At 45.9% G+C, this 17,031-nt stretch overlaps 1 protein-coding gene across 12 annotated transcripts in view, besides 1 other annotated feature; it reads left to right on the top strand.

The window, feature by feature from the left end:
- The first annotated feature begins 14,600 nt into the window (after positions 1-14,600).
- Positions 14,601-17,031, top strand: part of PACC1 (proton activated chloride channel 1) — a 50,959-nt gene continuing 48,528 nt past the window's right edge. For 6 of the 12 annotated variants that reach the window (NR_165303.1, NM_001377478.1, XM_047424320.1 and 3 more), the window contains exon 1: positions 14,601-14,765. Coding sequence is in view for 6 of the 12 variants with exons in the window: in NM_001377478.1 (NP_001364407.1) it covers positions 14,730-14,765 (36 nt within the window). In the remaining 6 variants the exon portion in view is untranslated. Of the gene's footprint in view, positions 14,766-15,406; positions 15,590-17,031 lie in introns of those variants that run through there. The other 6 variants (XM_047424318.1, XM_011509718.4, XM_047424316.1 and 3 more) reach the window with 3 other exon arrangements.
- Positions 14,890-14,949: a silencer, noted in NCBI's record as "silent region_1794". NCBI's record gives its function as "represses an Ori minimal core promoter by ATAC-STARR-seq in GM12878 lymphoblastoid cells {active_cell/tissue: GM12878}" and the evidence as "EXISTENCE:reporter gene assay evidence [ECO:0000049][PMID:35858748]".

Raw genomic sequence — 17,031 nt, 5'->3', positions numbered from 1 at the left:
GTTTAATTTTCTGATCAAACAAAAAAGAGGCTTCTTTGTTTCACGGTGGGAAGGGAAAGGGCTGGGCCCTGTGTTTCTGTAGTAGAAGGGAAAAAGGGTGGTCCATTTACCCCAATCATAATAATTTCCCCATATGCTCATAGTGGCTGGCAGGATGTGCCAGGGCAGCCTGAGGTGGAGGAGGCATTAGTTCCGTGCATACTCAGCAATTAGTGTTGTTGTGTAGGGAGGCTAAAGTCTGTGCCCATTTGGCAAAGAGATTGCTTCTTAGCTGGTTCCAATACATGCGCAGAATTAAGATGTTAATCCAAATCTTTAAGTTATTCATCCTTCTTGTTTCTTCTGAGCAGGCGCCAGAGATCAGTGGTTGGTACACAGGGATAAGTGAGATCAGTCTCAGCCTGTGGGACTTCATAAGAAATGGGTTTAATTCGAGATAAATGAACCCAGCTGCTTATTCCTTGAAGTTTAATTGCAGTTTGGGTACTAAGGAGTACTTGGTAGAGTACTTTGTACAAGTACTTTGGGGAAGGTTGATCTAACGGAGACCCTTCCTTCCAAGTTTTTAATAGAACCCAGTTTCCTGGCTGGATTGTAGCATTTTCTTCCTTAGTGGAGGGAGGAAGTCTCTGATTTCCATATTCAAGAAGAGCTTTTTGCACCCGACCTAAGTTAATAACGTAGTTCTGTAATTTGAAAGTATCTATATCTACTAGGAAATCTGCAGTTAAGAAAGGACTTCCATACATTATTTCGAAAGAGCTGAGCTGCAAGTTTCCCTTAGGGGCAGCCAAAACTAGCAACAAGGCCACAGGCAATAGAGACGAATAGGTTTCTGATGTTTCCTGGCATAACTTGGCAAGAGTCCTCTTTGAAGTTTGGCCCTTTCTACTTTTCCTGCAAACTGTGGCCTCCATGCTGAATAAAGATGATACTGAATTCCTAGAGCCGGTGATATATTTTGGGTTCTTGTTGCTGTGAAAAATGAGCCATTCTGTAAGCTTTTAGGCAGCCCAAACTTAGGGATTATTTCCTTTAATAAAAATTTAGAAATGTCAGTTGCCTTTTCAGACCAGGTAGGAAAAGCTTCAATCCAACAAGTAAAGGTATCGATGAATACTAATAAATATTTGAATCCTTCCCATGGGGGTATTTGAGTGTAGTCTATTTGCCAATCTTCACCTGGGTGTGTTCCCCTGTGCTGAACAGGCTTTACTAAAGGAGGAGGTAAAGGTACTTAGGGATTATTTCCTTTCATAAAAATTTAGAAATGTCAGTTGCCTTTTCAGACCAGGTAGGAAAAGCTTCAATCCAACAAGTAAAGGTATCAATGAATACTAATAAATATTTGAATCCTTTCCATGGGGGTATTTGAGTGTAGTCTATTTGCCAGTCTTCACCTGGGTATGTTCCCCTGTGCTGAACAGGATTTACTAAAGGAGGAGGTAAAGTTTGATTATTTGGGTTATTTTGGACACATAGTTCACAGGCCCAAGTCCCTTGTTTTGCTGTTTTAAGAAGGTTTTTTCCTATAAAAAGACAAGTCATCAGTTGAAATAGGGAATCTCTTCTCAAATGAGTGGAATCATGCACATGTTTAACTACTTTGCATTGATCAGCCTTTGGTACATATAGCTTGCCATTTTCATCAATTAGCCATCTGGAAGGGTTTAAAGTTAATCCATGGGTTTTAGCTCATTCCTGTTCTCCTTTAGTATACTCTGGCTTTGTCATCACCAGGGCAGTGGGTACCAACATGCCCACAAAGTTGACTGGCTCCCTTAATGCAGCTGCCTTAGGTATAGCACCTGCAAAAGAATTTCCTTTTATTATAGTGGAGTCTCCTTTCTGATGCCCCCTGCAGTGACTCACAGCAACTTCCTTTGATAGCAGGACAGCATCTAGTAGATTTAAAATTTCTGAGTGGTATTTTATACAGGAACCCTTAGCAGCAGTTAGGAATCTCTGTTCCTTCCAAATGATAACATGAGCATGAAGACCAGAAAGGCATACTTGGAGTCAGTGTAAATATTCATTCTTAAATCATTTCCCAATTGAAGGGCTATGGTAGGAGCCATTAACTGCTTTTTTTTTTTTTTTTTTTTTTTTTTTTTTTTAGAGAGAGCGAGATGGGGTCTTGCTCTGTCACCCAGGCTGGAGTACAATGGTGCAATCTTGGCTCACTGCAACCTCCGTCTCCTGGGTTCAAGTGATTCCTCAGCCTCCCGAATAGCTGAGATTACAGGTGCCCACCACCATGCCCAGCTAATTTTTGTATTTTTAGTAGAGACGGGGTTTCGTCCTATTGGTCGGGCTGGTCTCAAACTCCTGACCTCAGGTGATTCACTCGCCTCGGCCTCCCAAAGTGCTGGGATTACAGGTGTGAGCCACCACACCCAGCCCATTAACTCCTTTTTGAGCTGAGCTAGAAGCTGTTAGAGCCAGAGCCTGGGCTTCGATTACCTCATGCTGACTGGCAACAGCCTACCTGGCTCTCCAGTTTCCCTGATACATAAAACTGCCCCCATTTGTAAACCATTCTGTTTCAGGATTATCTAGTGGCTCATCTTTTAAGTCTGCCCAGCTGGAATAAATTTGCTCCATAACTTGCATGCAAGAATGATCTAGAGGGTCCATAGCCTCAGGCAGATAAGTAGCCAGGCTTAAGGTTTGGCATCCTTTAAGAGTAATATCAGGAGTGTCTAAACAATAAAGCCTGCTACTTTAATAAGCATATCTTGGTTATCTATAGGTGTCCTTTAGCTTCTAGAACCTCTTGTACTTGGTGTGGGGTCAAAAACTCCAGATGTTGCCACAAAGTTAATTTGTTAGCTTCATCTACCAGAATAGCAGTTGCTGCAACTGCTCTGAGACATCTGGGCCATCCTGAAGCTACATGGTATAATTGCTTAGAAAAGTATGCCACCAGTTAAAGGATATCTCCTAGTTTCTGGACAAGAATGCACAGGGCTGTTTGTTGTTTTTCAGCCACGTAAACGAAGACTGGTTTGTCAAGACTGAGGATTCCTAAGGCTGGAGATGTACTCTTAGAGAGTATTAAAAGCGTGTTTATAATTGTTATCCCATTCAGAAGGATCTGAGTCTGCTCCTCATAGAGCCTCATCTAAAGGCTTGGCCATATCCCAAATCTGGGTACCCATAAATGGCAGAATCCTGCCATCCCTAGGAAAGCCCGCAATTGTTTTCTAGTTTGGTGTTCTGGAACACCCAAAATAGCTTCTTTTTGTACCAGGGCTATTGCCCGGGTGCCAGGAGTTAAGATGTATCCCAAATACTTAACTTTTTGAGTTGAAATCTGGGCCTTGGCTTGGCGTAGGGGCTCACACCTGTAATCTCAACACTCTGGGAGGCCGAGGTGGGAGGATCACTTGATTGAGCTCAGGAGTTCAAGACCAGTCTGGGCAACACAGCAAAACCGTCTCTAAAAAAATTTTTTCTTTTTAATTAGCTGGGTGTAGTGGTGTGCACCTGTGGTCCCAGCTACTTGGGAGGCTGAGGTGGGAGGACTGTTTGACCCCAGGAGATGGAGGTTGCATTGAGCTGAGGTCACACCACTGCACTCTAGCCTGGGCGACAGAGCCAAACCCTGTCTCAAAAAAATAAAAAGAAAAGAAATCTAGGCCTTGTACAGCAAGACTCTATATACCCATTAGTTCTCAGAAAATTTAACAGTGAAATGGTGTTATTGTCTGAGTCCCTTTTGGTTGGCTAGCAATAAGCAGATCATTAAGTACTGAATAATGGTGCCCTTATCCAATCATAACATTTTAAATTCTTTAGCCAACGCATTTCCAAATAAATGAGGGGTATCTCCAAACCCCTAGGGAAGAACTGTCCAAGTTAATTGAGAAACTAAATGACTATGTGGGTCAGTCCATTCAAAAGCAAAGATGGATTGTGAATCAGGGTGCACCAAAATACAGAAAAAGGCTTCCTTAAGATCTAAGATTGTAAGCCAATTAGCACCCCCAGGGACCTGGGCTAACAGCCTGTAAGGATTGCATACTATAGGATGTATGAGAACAACAGCCTCATTGACAACCAGGAGGTCTTGAACAAATCTATAGTCTCCACTTGTCTTTTTAACTGACAAGATTGGAGTATTACAGGGAGACTCAGAGTCTCAGCAAACCAAACTGCAGAAACTTATTTATTAATGGCTGGATTCCTCTTTGTGCCTCTGGTCTCAGAGGGTATTGTCTTTTCCAGGGAATATGAGACACCAGGTTTGGTTTAAGTTAAATACAAACTGGAGGGGTATGTAATGCCCTCCCCAGAACTTAAATGTTCCAAACCATAGGATCTATTTGGGAGGTTACTACAACATGCAAGCTAGCTGAATCTCTATTAATTTTTCTCCATTGTCTTGGAGAGAAGTAAAAGCAATTCCTCATCCACCTTGTAATCTCTGAAAGAGTCTACAGTTTGAAGCTGAATTAATACATTTCTTCCCAAAAGAGAGGCAGGGCATTCAGGCATTAAAAGAAAAACATACAAAGCCATGAGACGAGATCGTGCCACTGCACTTCAGCCTGGTGACAGAATGAGACTCTGTCTCAAAAAAAGAAAAAAAAAAAAAAGAAGAGCAGCTTATAGGATGCTAAAACAGCACCTATGAGCTTGTCCATTTATCCCTGTGATCATACAGTCTCGGGATGATAAAGCCTCTTCATAATGTGCCAAAACAGAGCAAGCAGCCCCTGTATAGAGAAGGAAATTAATATTCTTACCTGCCACTTCAAGGGTTACCCCAGGATCCTCCAGATACATGGTTTTGTTGCCCAATGAGAGCTGTGGCAGAAGGTCTTGAGCCCCATCACTCTTGGCCTTCAGCACCTAAACTAAGGATGTCTGAGCAAACCCGAGAGTGAGTGGTGCGCCTCTTCCTAATGGCCAGTTGTCTTACAGCAAGCACATTAATTTATATTCAAGTTGCGGTGATCTGGAAGCCCAGATTGGGGCTTTCTGCCTTCTAGCTTCCCTTGCCAAGGCTGAGAAGTGTAAGGGCAACCCCCATATGTGTGGCAAGCTTAAGGCCACAGCTAAGAGCTGTTCCTTTTGAGAAGCTGTCTTAAGTTTTTCTGCTTTCTCTGTCTTGTCCTTGTTATTAAAAACCATAAATGCCGTGTCCCAAAACTGGTTCATAGTAGTCTGGGGAACCAAGGCTGCTTTTTTTGCAGTTTCCAATGGATATCAAGGGCAGACTGGATTATACAATGTACCCCTAATCAGGTTTGTCCTTTTGAAGTGGGATCAGTGTATTTCCTAATTGCCTCAATTGTCCCTGAAACAAAGCCAGATTCTCATCTTTACCTTGGGTAACTTCCTTCACGTTATCATAATTAACATGTTTTTTCGTACATGTGTTTATCCCTTCTAATAAACAAGTGATCATGTGATCTCTCTTCTCAGTCTTCACTATTCCTTTGATCATTCCATCCTCGATTTTGATCAGGAACTGCAATACCCCCAACCCTGTAGATAGTATGATTAGAATTGTGGGATAGCATTTCATCTGCATGTGTCCTAGCTATTTCCAAAATCCACTGTTTTTCTTCCACTGTACAGCAGGTGGATAACAAAATATGCAAATCCTGCCAGGTTAAATTATGTCAGAGTTAGTTTCTCAAACTCATCTATAAATTTTCCTAGGTCTTCAGAGAAACAACCAAATTTTTCTTTGCATAATGCCAAATCAGACATAGAAAAAGGGACACATACCCTTATAGTGCCCTGTTCCCCATTTACCACTTCTCTAAGCAAAGATTTTCCTTTGAAAGTTGCTAAGAGGCTCCACTATGGGTAATACAGGTGGGGCTGGGTTCCTCAGGGAGTAACGGGTACAGAATAGGACTAAGCATCTCAGAAGGAGGTAGATGTAAAATAGGGCTAGACGGGTAAGGAGGATGAGATGAAGAGGTCTCAACAGAACTACTAGAAGGGCTAGAAGGGACAGGGGCAGATGCACCTGAAGCATTGGAACTGACCAAGGCTTGCATTGAAAGATCATCTAGAATATCTAATTAGTTTTCCTCTTTTATTTTCATTAAATATGCACATGCTTGTTTTAAAGTTTTATCCTGACTAAGCAATAGAAATGTTTGAACATATGGTATTTCACCCCATTTTCCCTCCTGCTTGCAAAACAAATCAAGTTGAAGTATAACTATTAAAGGCTGTAGTTCCATTAGGTGGCCATTTTTCTTGACTTTCCAAATAACATTATTATTATTTGGAATAATAACATTATTATTTGGCCCTATTAGGGCCAAACAATATTACATAAAAATAAACATTTCTTTTTCTTAAGCCCACCTAATTTAAATTGGTCCCAATGCTCTAATATGTACCCTAGTGGTGAGCTTTTTAGGATTAAGGCTGTGTTACCCATGAAGGGAGCAGGTAAAGGTGAAAATAGAGATCATTGTGAATAAGGTTGTACTGCCACTGGCCAAGCTCCACTAAAAAGGATGAAAGAGCTTTCAGAGCCAAATGAGCAAGGGAAAATGATCCTGTGATCACTTTTTTTTTTTTTAATAAAAATAGAGGCGGGGTCTTGCTATGTTGCCCAGGCTGCTCTTGAACTCCTCAGCTCAAATGATCCTCCTGCTTTGGGCTCCCAAAGTGCTAGGATTACAGGTGTGAGCCACTATACCCAGCCCCCATGGTCACTTTAATTCAGCTATTCATATTACCCAAATAATGAGTTGGGCCATTTGCACTAGAGAGACCACAATAGGGGACTTGACAAAGAAATGTCTCATTAAGCAAGGGAAATGACACAGACCCGGGAAGGAATGTCCAGGCTCAGGACAGTGATGGCAAGCAGGGTGAAACTTACATGGTCTTGCTGTCCGTAACCAAGAAGTAAAAGTCATTTGATTAGTGAGCAGATGAAAAGGAACTGCTAAAAACAAATCTCCAATTCCCTATTCTATAGCTGTTTGTCTACATGGGACTGGCATAATTGCTGCCTGGCTCAATCATACACCCTGGAATTTTTCATTTAAAATTTGTAAGTACTGGCTGGGCGCGGTGGCTCACGCCTGTATCCCAGCACTTTGGGAGGCCGAGGTGGGTGGATCACTTGAGGTCAGGAGTTCAAGACCGGCCTGACCAACATGCTGAAACCCCGTCTCTACTAAAAATACAAAAATTAGCCAGGCATGGTGGCACACACCCGTAGTCCCAGCTACTCGGGAGGCTGAGGCATAAGAATCACTCGAACCTGGGGAACGGAGGTTGCAGAGAGCTGAGATCACGCCACTGCACTCCAGCCTGGGCGACAGAGCAAAACTTCATCTCCAAATAAATAAATAAATAAATAAATAAAAATTGGAAGTACCAAGTTTCAATTTTGAGAGAAGGGGAGGCAATAAATAATTCATGTAAATGGGCTACATATAGGGAAAGTAAATCTTGCAGAACCATTCATCCCCAATGTACCTTAACAGGATGCCGGAGCAGACAGGCGAAGAGCCGATAATCTGAAGGCAAATGAGGAAAGTGAAAAGTTAAAAATATCAGGACTGGTCAAGTGAGGCCTGTGAAAAACAGCAGGAAAACACAGCAGTAAAACATAGACAGCAATCAGGAAACTGGCAAGTAGCAGCCTTTAACGAGCAGCCAAGAGTGCAAGGAGGGCTAATCCAAAGGGAGTAATGGTTAATATCTCGTCACACTGAATCCATATCCAGCTATGAGGATGTGGAGGGCCTCCAACCCTTCCTAGTTGGACCTCTAACCAGTTTTAGACAAGTACCCCGTCCTTTACCACTATAAAAATATATTCCACTACTTACCCAAAGTTGGCCAATTGGTGCTGCACAGTGTATTTCCTCTGGGTTGGAGGGTCTCACCTCATTAAGGTTCCAGTGGAGATGCAATGGGAAAATGTTACCAGAAAAGGGGTCTCATCCAAGAACCCAAGAGCAGGTTCTTGGCTCTTGCAGGGAGATAATTCAGGGCAAGTCACAGAGTATAGTAAAGTTTAAATAGTTTATTAGAAACCACTCTATTACAGAGTAGGGCATGCTCAGAAAGCAAGAGGAGGAATGCCTCTACCTTAATGTAACGCTTGCTTACATAGGATATTAGGGCTAAGAATAGTGTACTTTATTATAAAGTCCTGTGATCAGCTTGTGACAGGATATTAGTATTCATGTTCTCTTGTGTAACTATTGATTTCAGCGAGAATTTATGGGTGTACTATTAATAGCATCATTAGAGTAAAACCCATTTTTAAACTAAGAATGCCTTTTTCCATTAACTTGTTTCCTCAGCCCTAGACATCTTGTGATAAAGAGTGCCTAACTTCCTGAGAAAGTCACCCAGCAGTTTTTTTTTTTTTTTTTGGCTTTATATGGCCTTTATTCAAGATGGAGTCATTCTGGTTAGGACACCTGTGACAGAATAAGTTTAAATGTTAATGGAATAACTCTGGCTGAAGCCGGGAGGCTACTGCAATAATCCAGGTGGGAGATGATGGCTGCTTGGACCAGGGTGGTGCCTGGGGATGTGGTGAGAAGTGGTTGACTATGGATATGTTTTGAAGATGTGGTTGATAGAATTTGCTGACAGATGAGACTTGGGATGTAAGAAACAGAGAGGAGTCAGAGGTGAGTTGGAGGTTGTTGCCCTGAGTAACTAGAAAGATGGAATTGCCATTTATTGATATAGGAGTAGGTTTTGGAGGAGAAGATCAAGATCAATTTGGGGCTTGTTCAGTTTGTGATGTGTGTTAGACATCTAACTGAAGGTATCAAATTGGCAATTAAATATACAAGTCTAGAATGAGGGGAGAGTTCTGGGCTGGAGATAGAAATTTTGGAATTCACTGGCATAGGTGTTGTATGTAAAGCCACAGGAATGGCTGAGATCGCCAAGGGAAGTGCATGTGGACAGAGGGGACTGAGCTCCTAACATTTGGTGGTTGGTAGAACTGGCAAAGGAGACCAGAAAAGGGCTCACTGTATGCCAGGTACTGGTTTCAGCACTTTGATGTTTATAAGCTCTTTTAATCCTCACTTTAACTCTGGGACATAACTATTACTATGTCAGGGGACCTTAAGTACCTCACGTAGCTCTCACAGTAGGTGACAGAGCCAAGTCAAGCACAGGCCATGTGTCCTACAGCCTGCCATAACCACCAGGCTATCCTTCCCCCCAGCGACTATACCAAATGTTTATACTTTTACTTATTTAACAGGATGGGTTTCTAGTGCAGAGTGACTTAAACAGGATCTGTGTGCATTAACTTTACTCTGAATCTCAATTTCCACATTAGTAACATGCCAGCCTGCCTCTTTCATAGGACTGTGTTAAAACTAACAATGGTAGTGGAATTGTAAACCTCGAAGTGCAGTATCTACATTACACTGTGTCACAAGATCTCTGGGGATGGAGGAGGCCCTTGAAAACCCCCGAATTGAATATCATCCCCTTCCTGATGCATGTCACGATAACATCCCTATCATACCTTGTACTGCCTCTCTGCTTGGGCCCTTTCTCTTTCTACAGTTCTGTTTGTAAGGAACATCTTTAAGCCAAAAGACCCTTCTAATTTCTACTGATCCCATATAACTCCCCCCTCCCTGAGATGCTGAGGATAAGTCTATACATGAATAACATGCTTATAGGCCCTTGGATTTCTCCAGGCACCCCTCTGATTGTCATTTTCTACTTGAACCCAGACATATTTTTCCAAAGCACTTGGAATCCGTTAGTCACCGGCAAGAAAAATGGAAAGTATTCTTTTTCTTTAAAATTTTATTTTATTTTAAGTTCTGGGATACATGTACAGAATGTTCAGGTTTGTTACATAGGTAAACGTGTGCCATGGTGGTTTGCTGCATCTATCAACCCATCACCTAGGTATTAAGCCCCACATGCATTAGCTATTTATCCTGATGCTCTCTCTCCCAAAATAGAAACCATTCTGGATAGAACAGAATGGCTGAATACAGGGAGCCAGTTACACAGGTGATGAAAGAAGCTGAGACAATAACCCTGAGGCAACCAAGAGTATCAACAGCAGGAAGTCACCATTCCAGCCAATGGAAGGGTAACAGGGGTGTTTATTTATTTTTATGTATCTTTTCTGAGATGAAGTTTTGCTCTTGTTGCCCAGGCTGGGGTGCAGTGGCACAATCTCAGCTCACTGCAACCTCCACCTCCCAGGTTCAAGTGATTCTCCTGCCTCAGCCTCCCGAGTAGCTGGGATTACAGGTGTGCGCCACCACGCCCGGCTAATTCTTTGTATTTTTAGTAGAGACAGGGTTTCTCCATGTTGGTCAGGCTGGCTTCAAACTCCCGACCTCAGGTGATCCACCCGCTTCAGCCTCCCAAAGTGCTGGGATTACAGGCGTGAGCCACCACGCCAGGCAACAGTGGTGTTTATTAGAGTCTAAGGGCCTGAGTCACCTGGCTGAAGCTAGGACCACAAAAAGCCTTTGTATCAGGGGCTGGAGCCATGGAAGGGAAACTGTGAGAGGCAGAGAACAGGGAAAAAAAAGCCCTGGCTTCTCCCTTGCCCTGACTCCTGAAAATGCCTCCTGCTAAGGTATACATGTAAATGATTGCCAGCCATTATTCTAGAGGTCACAAGACATTGCAACTTCCCCAATTACTCCTGCAGATAACGTCACTATCGTAGAACCTCAGCTTGGCTTTTTGAAATGTCTTTTCGGGTTTTTTGCATGTCCGACACTGATGGCTCCACCTGGACCCACCAATCACTCCTGTGGCCCCCACCCAGCAGTGACTAAGTGCACTGGAGGACCATTTCCCACACCCCTGTGATTGCAACCCCAACCAATCAATAGCAAGCACCCACCCCTATCCTATCCCACAAACTACCTTTGAAAACCCCTGGCCCCCAAATGCTTGGGGAGATTGATTTGTGTAATAACTCTGTCTCCCTGTGGCCTCAGTCAGTTAAACTCTTTCTTTACTGCAATGCCATGGTCTCAGTGAATTGATATTGTCTATACAGCAGGCAGGAAGAACCCATCAGGTGGTTACACTACATGCCCCTAGTGGTCCTCTCCACTGACACTGCCTTCTGCTTGGCTTCAGCCTAGGGCCTGTGTACTGTACCTGTGCCTTCTGCCTGTACCCGCACAGACCATCATGTGCTAGTCCCTTCTTGTCATTTAGGTCTCAACTCAAAAGTAACTGCCATCAGGAGGCCTCTCTTGACATCCCCCAGATATATTAGCATCCTACCACCCTGGCCCATGTCTTCCACCTTTTTATAAGGACGAGTCATATTGGACTGAGAGATCACCTTACTCCAATATGACCTCATCCTAGTTACATCTGCAATGACCCTATTTCCATCTAAGGTCACATTCTGAGGTACTGAGGTCTAGGTCCTCAACATATTTTGGGGGAACACAAGTCAATTATAGCAGGAATCTTTAGGGTATAGATGATAATTCAAGCCATGAGGCTAGAGGTGACCACTTCACTAGCCCCTACGGAGTGAATAGAAAGGAGGTGGAAAATCTAGCTTTGGGGCTGGGCGTGGTGGTTCTCGCCTATAATTCCCCCAGCACTTTGGGAGGCTGAGGTAGACAGATCACTTGAGGTCAGGAGATTGAGACCAGCCTGGCCAACATGACGAAACCCCGTCTCTACTAAAAATATGAAAATTTTAGCCAGGCATGGTGGCAGGCACCTGTAATCCCAGCTATTTGGAAGGCTGAGGCAGGAGAATCACTTGAGCCCGGGAGGCAGAGGTTACAGTGAACCAAGATTGCCGCACTGCACTCCACCCTGGGTGACAGAGCGAGACTCCATCTAAAAAAAACCAAAACAACAACAACAAACCTAGCTTTGGGAAAGTCCGCCCTGTAGAGCTGAGATGAGGAGAAGTCAGCAGAGAGGCTGAGAAAGAGCAGTAACTGTAACTGTAATAGGCCTGTTGCCTGATGTGTGCAGCAAGTCAATATGCCAAGACGGAGTTGCAGTAGAAAAAGAGGCTTACCAATAGGGCCTCCAATCGAGGAGATGGAGGGGAACCTCAAACCCTCTCTCAAGGAGTTTGCGGCTTTTCTAAGGGTTTTTAAGGAGTAGGCTGAAGTGTGGAGACTGCTGATTGGCCAAAGGGAACAGGGTGAAATCATTGGACAGAGAGAGAAGCAGCTGTATTCTCATGCTGATTCCATTCCTCTGTTGGTGTCTTCAAACTTGTTGGTGTCAGCTGTTTCACTGGAATTTGTGATCTGAAAAACATTTTAAGCAATTTTTTTTTTTGAGACAGAATTTTGCTATTGTCGCCCAGGCTGGAGTGCAATGGTGTGATCTTGGCTCACTGCAACCTCTGCCTCCCGGGTTCAAGCGATTCTCCTGCCTCAGCCTCCTGAGTAGGGAGGCTAGGGAGGCTGGGATTATAGGTGCCCGCCACCATGCCTGGTTAATTTTTGTATTTTTAGTAAAGATGAAGTTTTACCATGTTGGCCAGGCTGGTCTCGAACTCCTGACCTCAGGCAATCCGCCCGCCTCGGCCTCCTAAAGAGTTGGGATTACAGGCGTGAGCCACTGGGCCTGGCCTTAAACAATTCTTAAGCAAAAGCCTTATGATTCCAATGTCAGAAATCCTACCTGTAGGAGCAGTGGAGATGCAAATGGTCAGTATCTAGTGCTACATGACTTTTGGCTACAAGGAAGTGGGTCAAATTACAGCCTGATTAATGCTTAATTATAACTCTATTTCTGTGCAGAATTCGTGTTAACCCTGTGAGGATGGCTTCAAAGTGAGGTAGGAGCAAGCCGGGAGTGTGTGGTGTCCTGGAAGCCAGGGAGGAACGCGTATCAAGGAGGAGGGAGGATCAGCCAAGTCCACTGTGGCTGATAAATCAAGAAAGAGGAGGATGGGAAAATGGCCATCTGATGTGACAACACTGAGGTCACTTGTGACCTTGACAAGCACTGTTCCAGTGGAGTGGAGGGGAGTAAAGCCTGACTGGTGTGTGCTCATGAAGGAATGGGAGAGAGGACTTGGGGGCTGCAAGGACAGAACATTATTTACATGTTTATGATCTGTCTCTCCACAGTTGCATGAAAGAGCCACGAAAGCCAGGACCCAAGGGTATCTTATCCATTTCTGTATCCCAGTGCCCAGCACATTGTATTTGTTAAGCCATATTTTATATTTTATTAGCCAGTATCTCCTTCAAATGTGGGAGCCCATAATTTTCCAGTTTGGTCACACCAACAAAGACTAGAGAGGAATGACAGGGTTGGAATAGAATTCTCTGGTTCCTTCCAGCTCTAATATTCTATGATGGTGTGAACTTGTTCTATCAAGTACCATTGTATTAACACAGTAAGGAATTTAATTAGTGGTCTGCTATTGTTAATTTGTTTTGGTAAGCAACTGTTAAATGAAATGGCTGGAATCAGTGTTCCATTCATAAATTTAACAAACATTTGTCGAGTGCCTACAATGTGTTAGGCACTATATATATTGTCCCATATAACAGATTTAAGAGCAGAGGGCCTAGGATAGGGGTGAGTGGTCAGGAGAGGTGATGGGGACCTCCCATTGCTAATGCTCCAGGAGGTCCAGGGTTCTTTGATGTGGCTGGCACTATTCTGCTTATCACTGAGGAGAGAAGAGGCTCCCAGTGGCCTGAGTGGAGGGGTTACCAAGCTGCAGCTGCAAGGGACACAGAGCAGCATTCACCAAGGCACAACAAGCAGCCTCTATCTGCTTCACCACTGAGGAGCCGAGGGCCCTCACACAACAGCTGTTTCAGGCAGTGGGAGGAGAGGAAGATGTGGTCTTCAGGTCCACCCTGCCACAGGGCCAACACCAGATTTGACGCCACATCTAGCGCTTGAGGCTTCTTCTGTGGCTGAACAGCGGCTTTAGGCTTTCTCTGCACGATCCTTCCTTTCTGCTTTCATAGGCCTTGTCAGGCAGGGCAGGGTTTAGCAGTTGCATTCTAAGGCGAGGAGAGGAGGGCTCAGAGCATTGCAAGACCTAAAGGGGAGGGTCAGAGCCAGGACAAGAACCTAGGGGTACTCCTGCCCCTGGAATAATGGAGAGAACATGGGCTCCGCAGTCTACCCCTGGATGAAATAATCTTCATTTGATTACCGCTCCACCCGCATCCTTTCTGAAACAAAGTACCTCAGTTTCCTCATTTGTAAATTAGGGAGAAAAATGTCCTTCTTACAGGGTTCCTTGCAGAATCAACGGCATAATGTGAGTGAGAGCGCTTTGTAACTAACATACAAAGTGCTCTCCAGACATTTATTACCGTTTTAAACCGCCAGGCCAAGCTTCCTCTTGCAATTATAGATTAGGGGCTCCTACTCATCTGACTTTGTTCCACTTTCCACTCCTCTTCTCCGTCCCTCCCCCTCCAACAAAGAGAGGAAGTGAGAGACGCAGAGGCACGCGTCTAAGGACCAGCTTAGCTGGCCCAGGGTCACATGCAGGCCTCCGCCACAGGGGTGAGAGCTGGTGTGAGGGGCGCCCCCGCCCAGAACTACATTTCCCATCAACACTTTCGCGACTCCTGGGCGGCAGCGGCCAGGCGCATGCGCCGAGTATCGCCACGCCTGGTCTCTGGGACGCCCCTCCGGACCGGTTTCGCCTCGCGGAGCCGGTAGGTCCAGGTGCAGCGGCCGCAGTGCTGCGTCCGTGCGCCGCGGGCTGGGGCGGTCTCAGGTGTGCCGAAGCTCTGGTCAGTGCCATGATCCGGCAGGAGCGCTCCACATCCTACCAGGAGGTACGAGGTTGTGAGAGACGGAAGGGAAGTTTGAGGCGGAGGAGCAGGGTCCCGGGGGCCTGGGCGGATGCGGGGCGGGGGGTGTCGGGGCTGCGCGGCAGAGGGCTCTTCCGAGGGACCGACGGGTGCGTCAGGGGAGGGCTCCCGGGGTGCAGAGGAGCGGCCCAGGGGCAGGAAGGAAGCGGGGCAGCGGAGCGGGCGCCCAGCGTTCTCCGTATGCTGCGGGTTGCATGGCCGAGGTCCGGAGTAGGGTCCCCGGCGCCGCGACCCGTAACCAGCAGGTGAATGATTGAAGCTACCTGAGGCCCAGCCTTCCGCGCTCCCCGCCGGAGCGGCAGCCCAATGGCCCAGAGGAACCCGGCGTTCTTTGCAACAAGTGGAGCGCCCGCGCCCTCCTCCCGGCGAGATCTGATGCGCGGTCGGCATCGTCGGCATCCTCCCCCTCCAAGCCCAAGGCCTCGCTGTCCCCGCGGCTGGTGACAGGATTGATTACCTGTTTTTTGGTGACCACCTAACTTTGAAAAAGTGCCTTCATGGACTCTGCTAGTTCTCGCTCCTCTTCGTCTCTCCCTCCAGTCTCACCTCCTCCCACGACTTTATCACTTTCCAGTTCTTTGTCTCTTCTCTGTCCTGCGCTGCAGGCTGTGCGTCCAGCGCTTCCTTCAAGCAAGCCCTGCCTCCTCACTTCTCCAGCTGTATTAGTGAAACTGCTCTCCTCCTCCGCCTCCACTTCTCGGCCCCCAAACCTTGGTCATCTTTGGCAACCGTCCTCTTCTGTGCCCCTCCATCGTGCCGCCTCATTGGCCAAAGTCAGGCAGTTCCAGGTCGGTCCTCCTCCAGTTTGTGTCCCTGTGTTTGCTGTAACCTCTGAGTGCGATACTGTGTTACCATCGCTCCCTTTAGTCTCTTATACTCTCCAGATTTGCCTTGAGGCCCTGCCTTCACCTCGGAGCATTCCTTTTTTCTCAGACCTGACGCTGCCCTTCGTCTGCCCAGAACAGTCCAGACTTCTCAGCAGGCTCCCAAAGCTCTGAACAGCACAGCAGCCATGTCTCCCATTACCTTTGCCACCTCCTAACCCACCTAGGGTCTGGCACAGTGGAAACTCAGTTTTAAAATGTGCTCCTGCCTCTGTGCGTGTGCTCACTCCATTCCTTCATCAACGCTCCGCCAAGCTCCATTGGGTAAAATGCCCCCAGAAGTCAAGGGCTACCTCAAGTTCCATGTGTTCCATAGGGGTCCGCTTTCCAGACCCGTCTGCATTTCTGTCTGTCCTTCTCATAATGAACTTGCTGCCTTCTGTCTTAGTCAATAGTTACTGCTGTACATATCTCCCTTTGTAAAAGACTGATTCACAGAAGGGCTTTGTGGACTATATAAAGCAGGTGGCTTAGCCCTACAGTGGAGGGAGAAGCCAACTTGAAGGCAGATGAGATTTGCCTAAGGCTTGCCATTTTTTAGTGTAGGATCTTGGCTGGAATCTGGCCTTGGACAGATTTCTATATTTCTCCTCCCATCCCCTTTATTCCATCTGTTTCCTTTGTCTGAAAGGAGTCTGAGGGATTTTAACCAGTGCTGTGGATTCCATGACCCCTAGATTCTGTACCCTAAACAGTGGGGGAATCCTGGGGAATGAGATGTGTCTGAAAGTTTTTAGGTTTATAGGGTGTGGAGCACAGTGGATAAAAGTCAGAAAGCCCACGTTCGTGCCTGGCTGTGCCTCTTGCTGTTTGTGTGACTTTTATTGAGTCACATAACTTTCTGAGCCTCAGTTTCTTTGTCTGAAAGATGAAGATAATAAAAGTCCCTACCTCCCAGGGTTGTTTGGGGATTAGATAAGTTGGTGTGGAAAGCGCTTGGCTCAGTGTCTGGCAAATGGTGACCCCACAGTGAATGATAGCTCTTGTTAACGGTGTGGGCAGCTCCTGCGTCCAGGATGCTTTGGGGTCCTGGCTTAGCAGGAACATGTGCCTCACCATCCACACATAGCCAGCCTAGCAGGGCTTATAAAATGTTTATTAAAATATAGGCACTTACCCCGCTTGGAGGGCCAAGGCCCAGGGTAGACTCAGTTTCTCTTTGGAGGCATCTCCAAAGTGGGAGGCACTGGAAGGGTGCCCTCCCCTTGCCTTCTTCAGAGGCCTGTTCTGGAGTCCCTGTCTCTCACTTCCTCAGAGAATGGGGCCACCCAGAAAATGGCCGGCGTCTTTCTTCCTGAACCATTCTGTGAGTGTACCTAGCTCTGAGTAGGTTTATTTGCTGAGGG

Source organism: Homo sapiens, chromosome 1 (assembly GCF_000001405.40).
Source record: "Homo sapiens chromosome 1, GRCh38.p14 Primary Assembly".
Taxonomy (NCBI): Eukaryota; Metazoa; Chordata; class Mammalia; order Primates; family Hominidae; genus Homo; species Homo sapiens.
The sequence above is the reverse complement of the archived record's forward strand: the minus strand, read 5'-3'. Positions and strand labels throughout refer to the sequence as shown.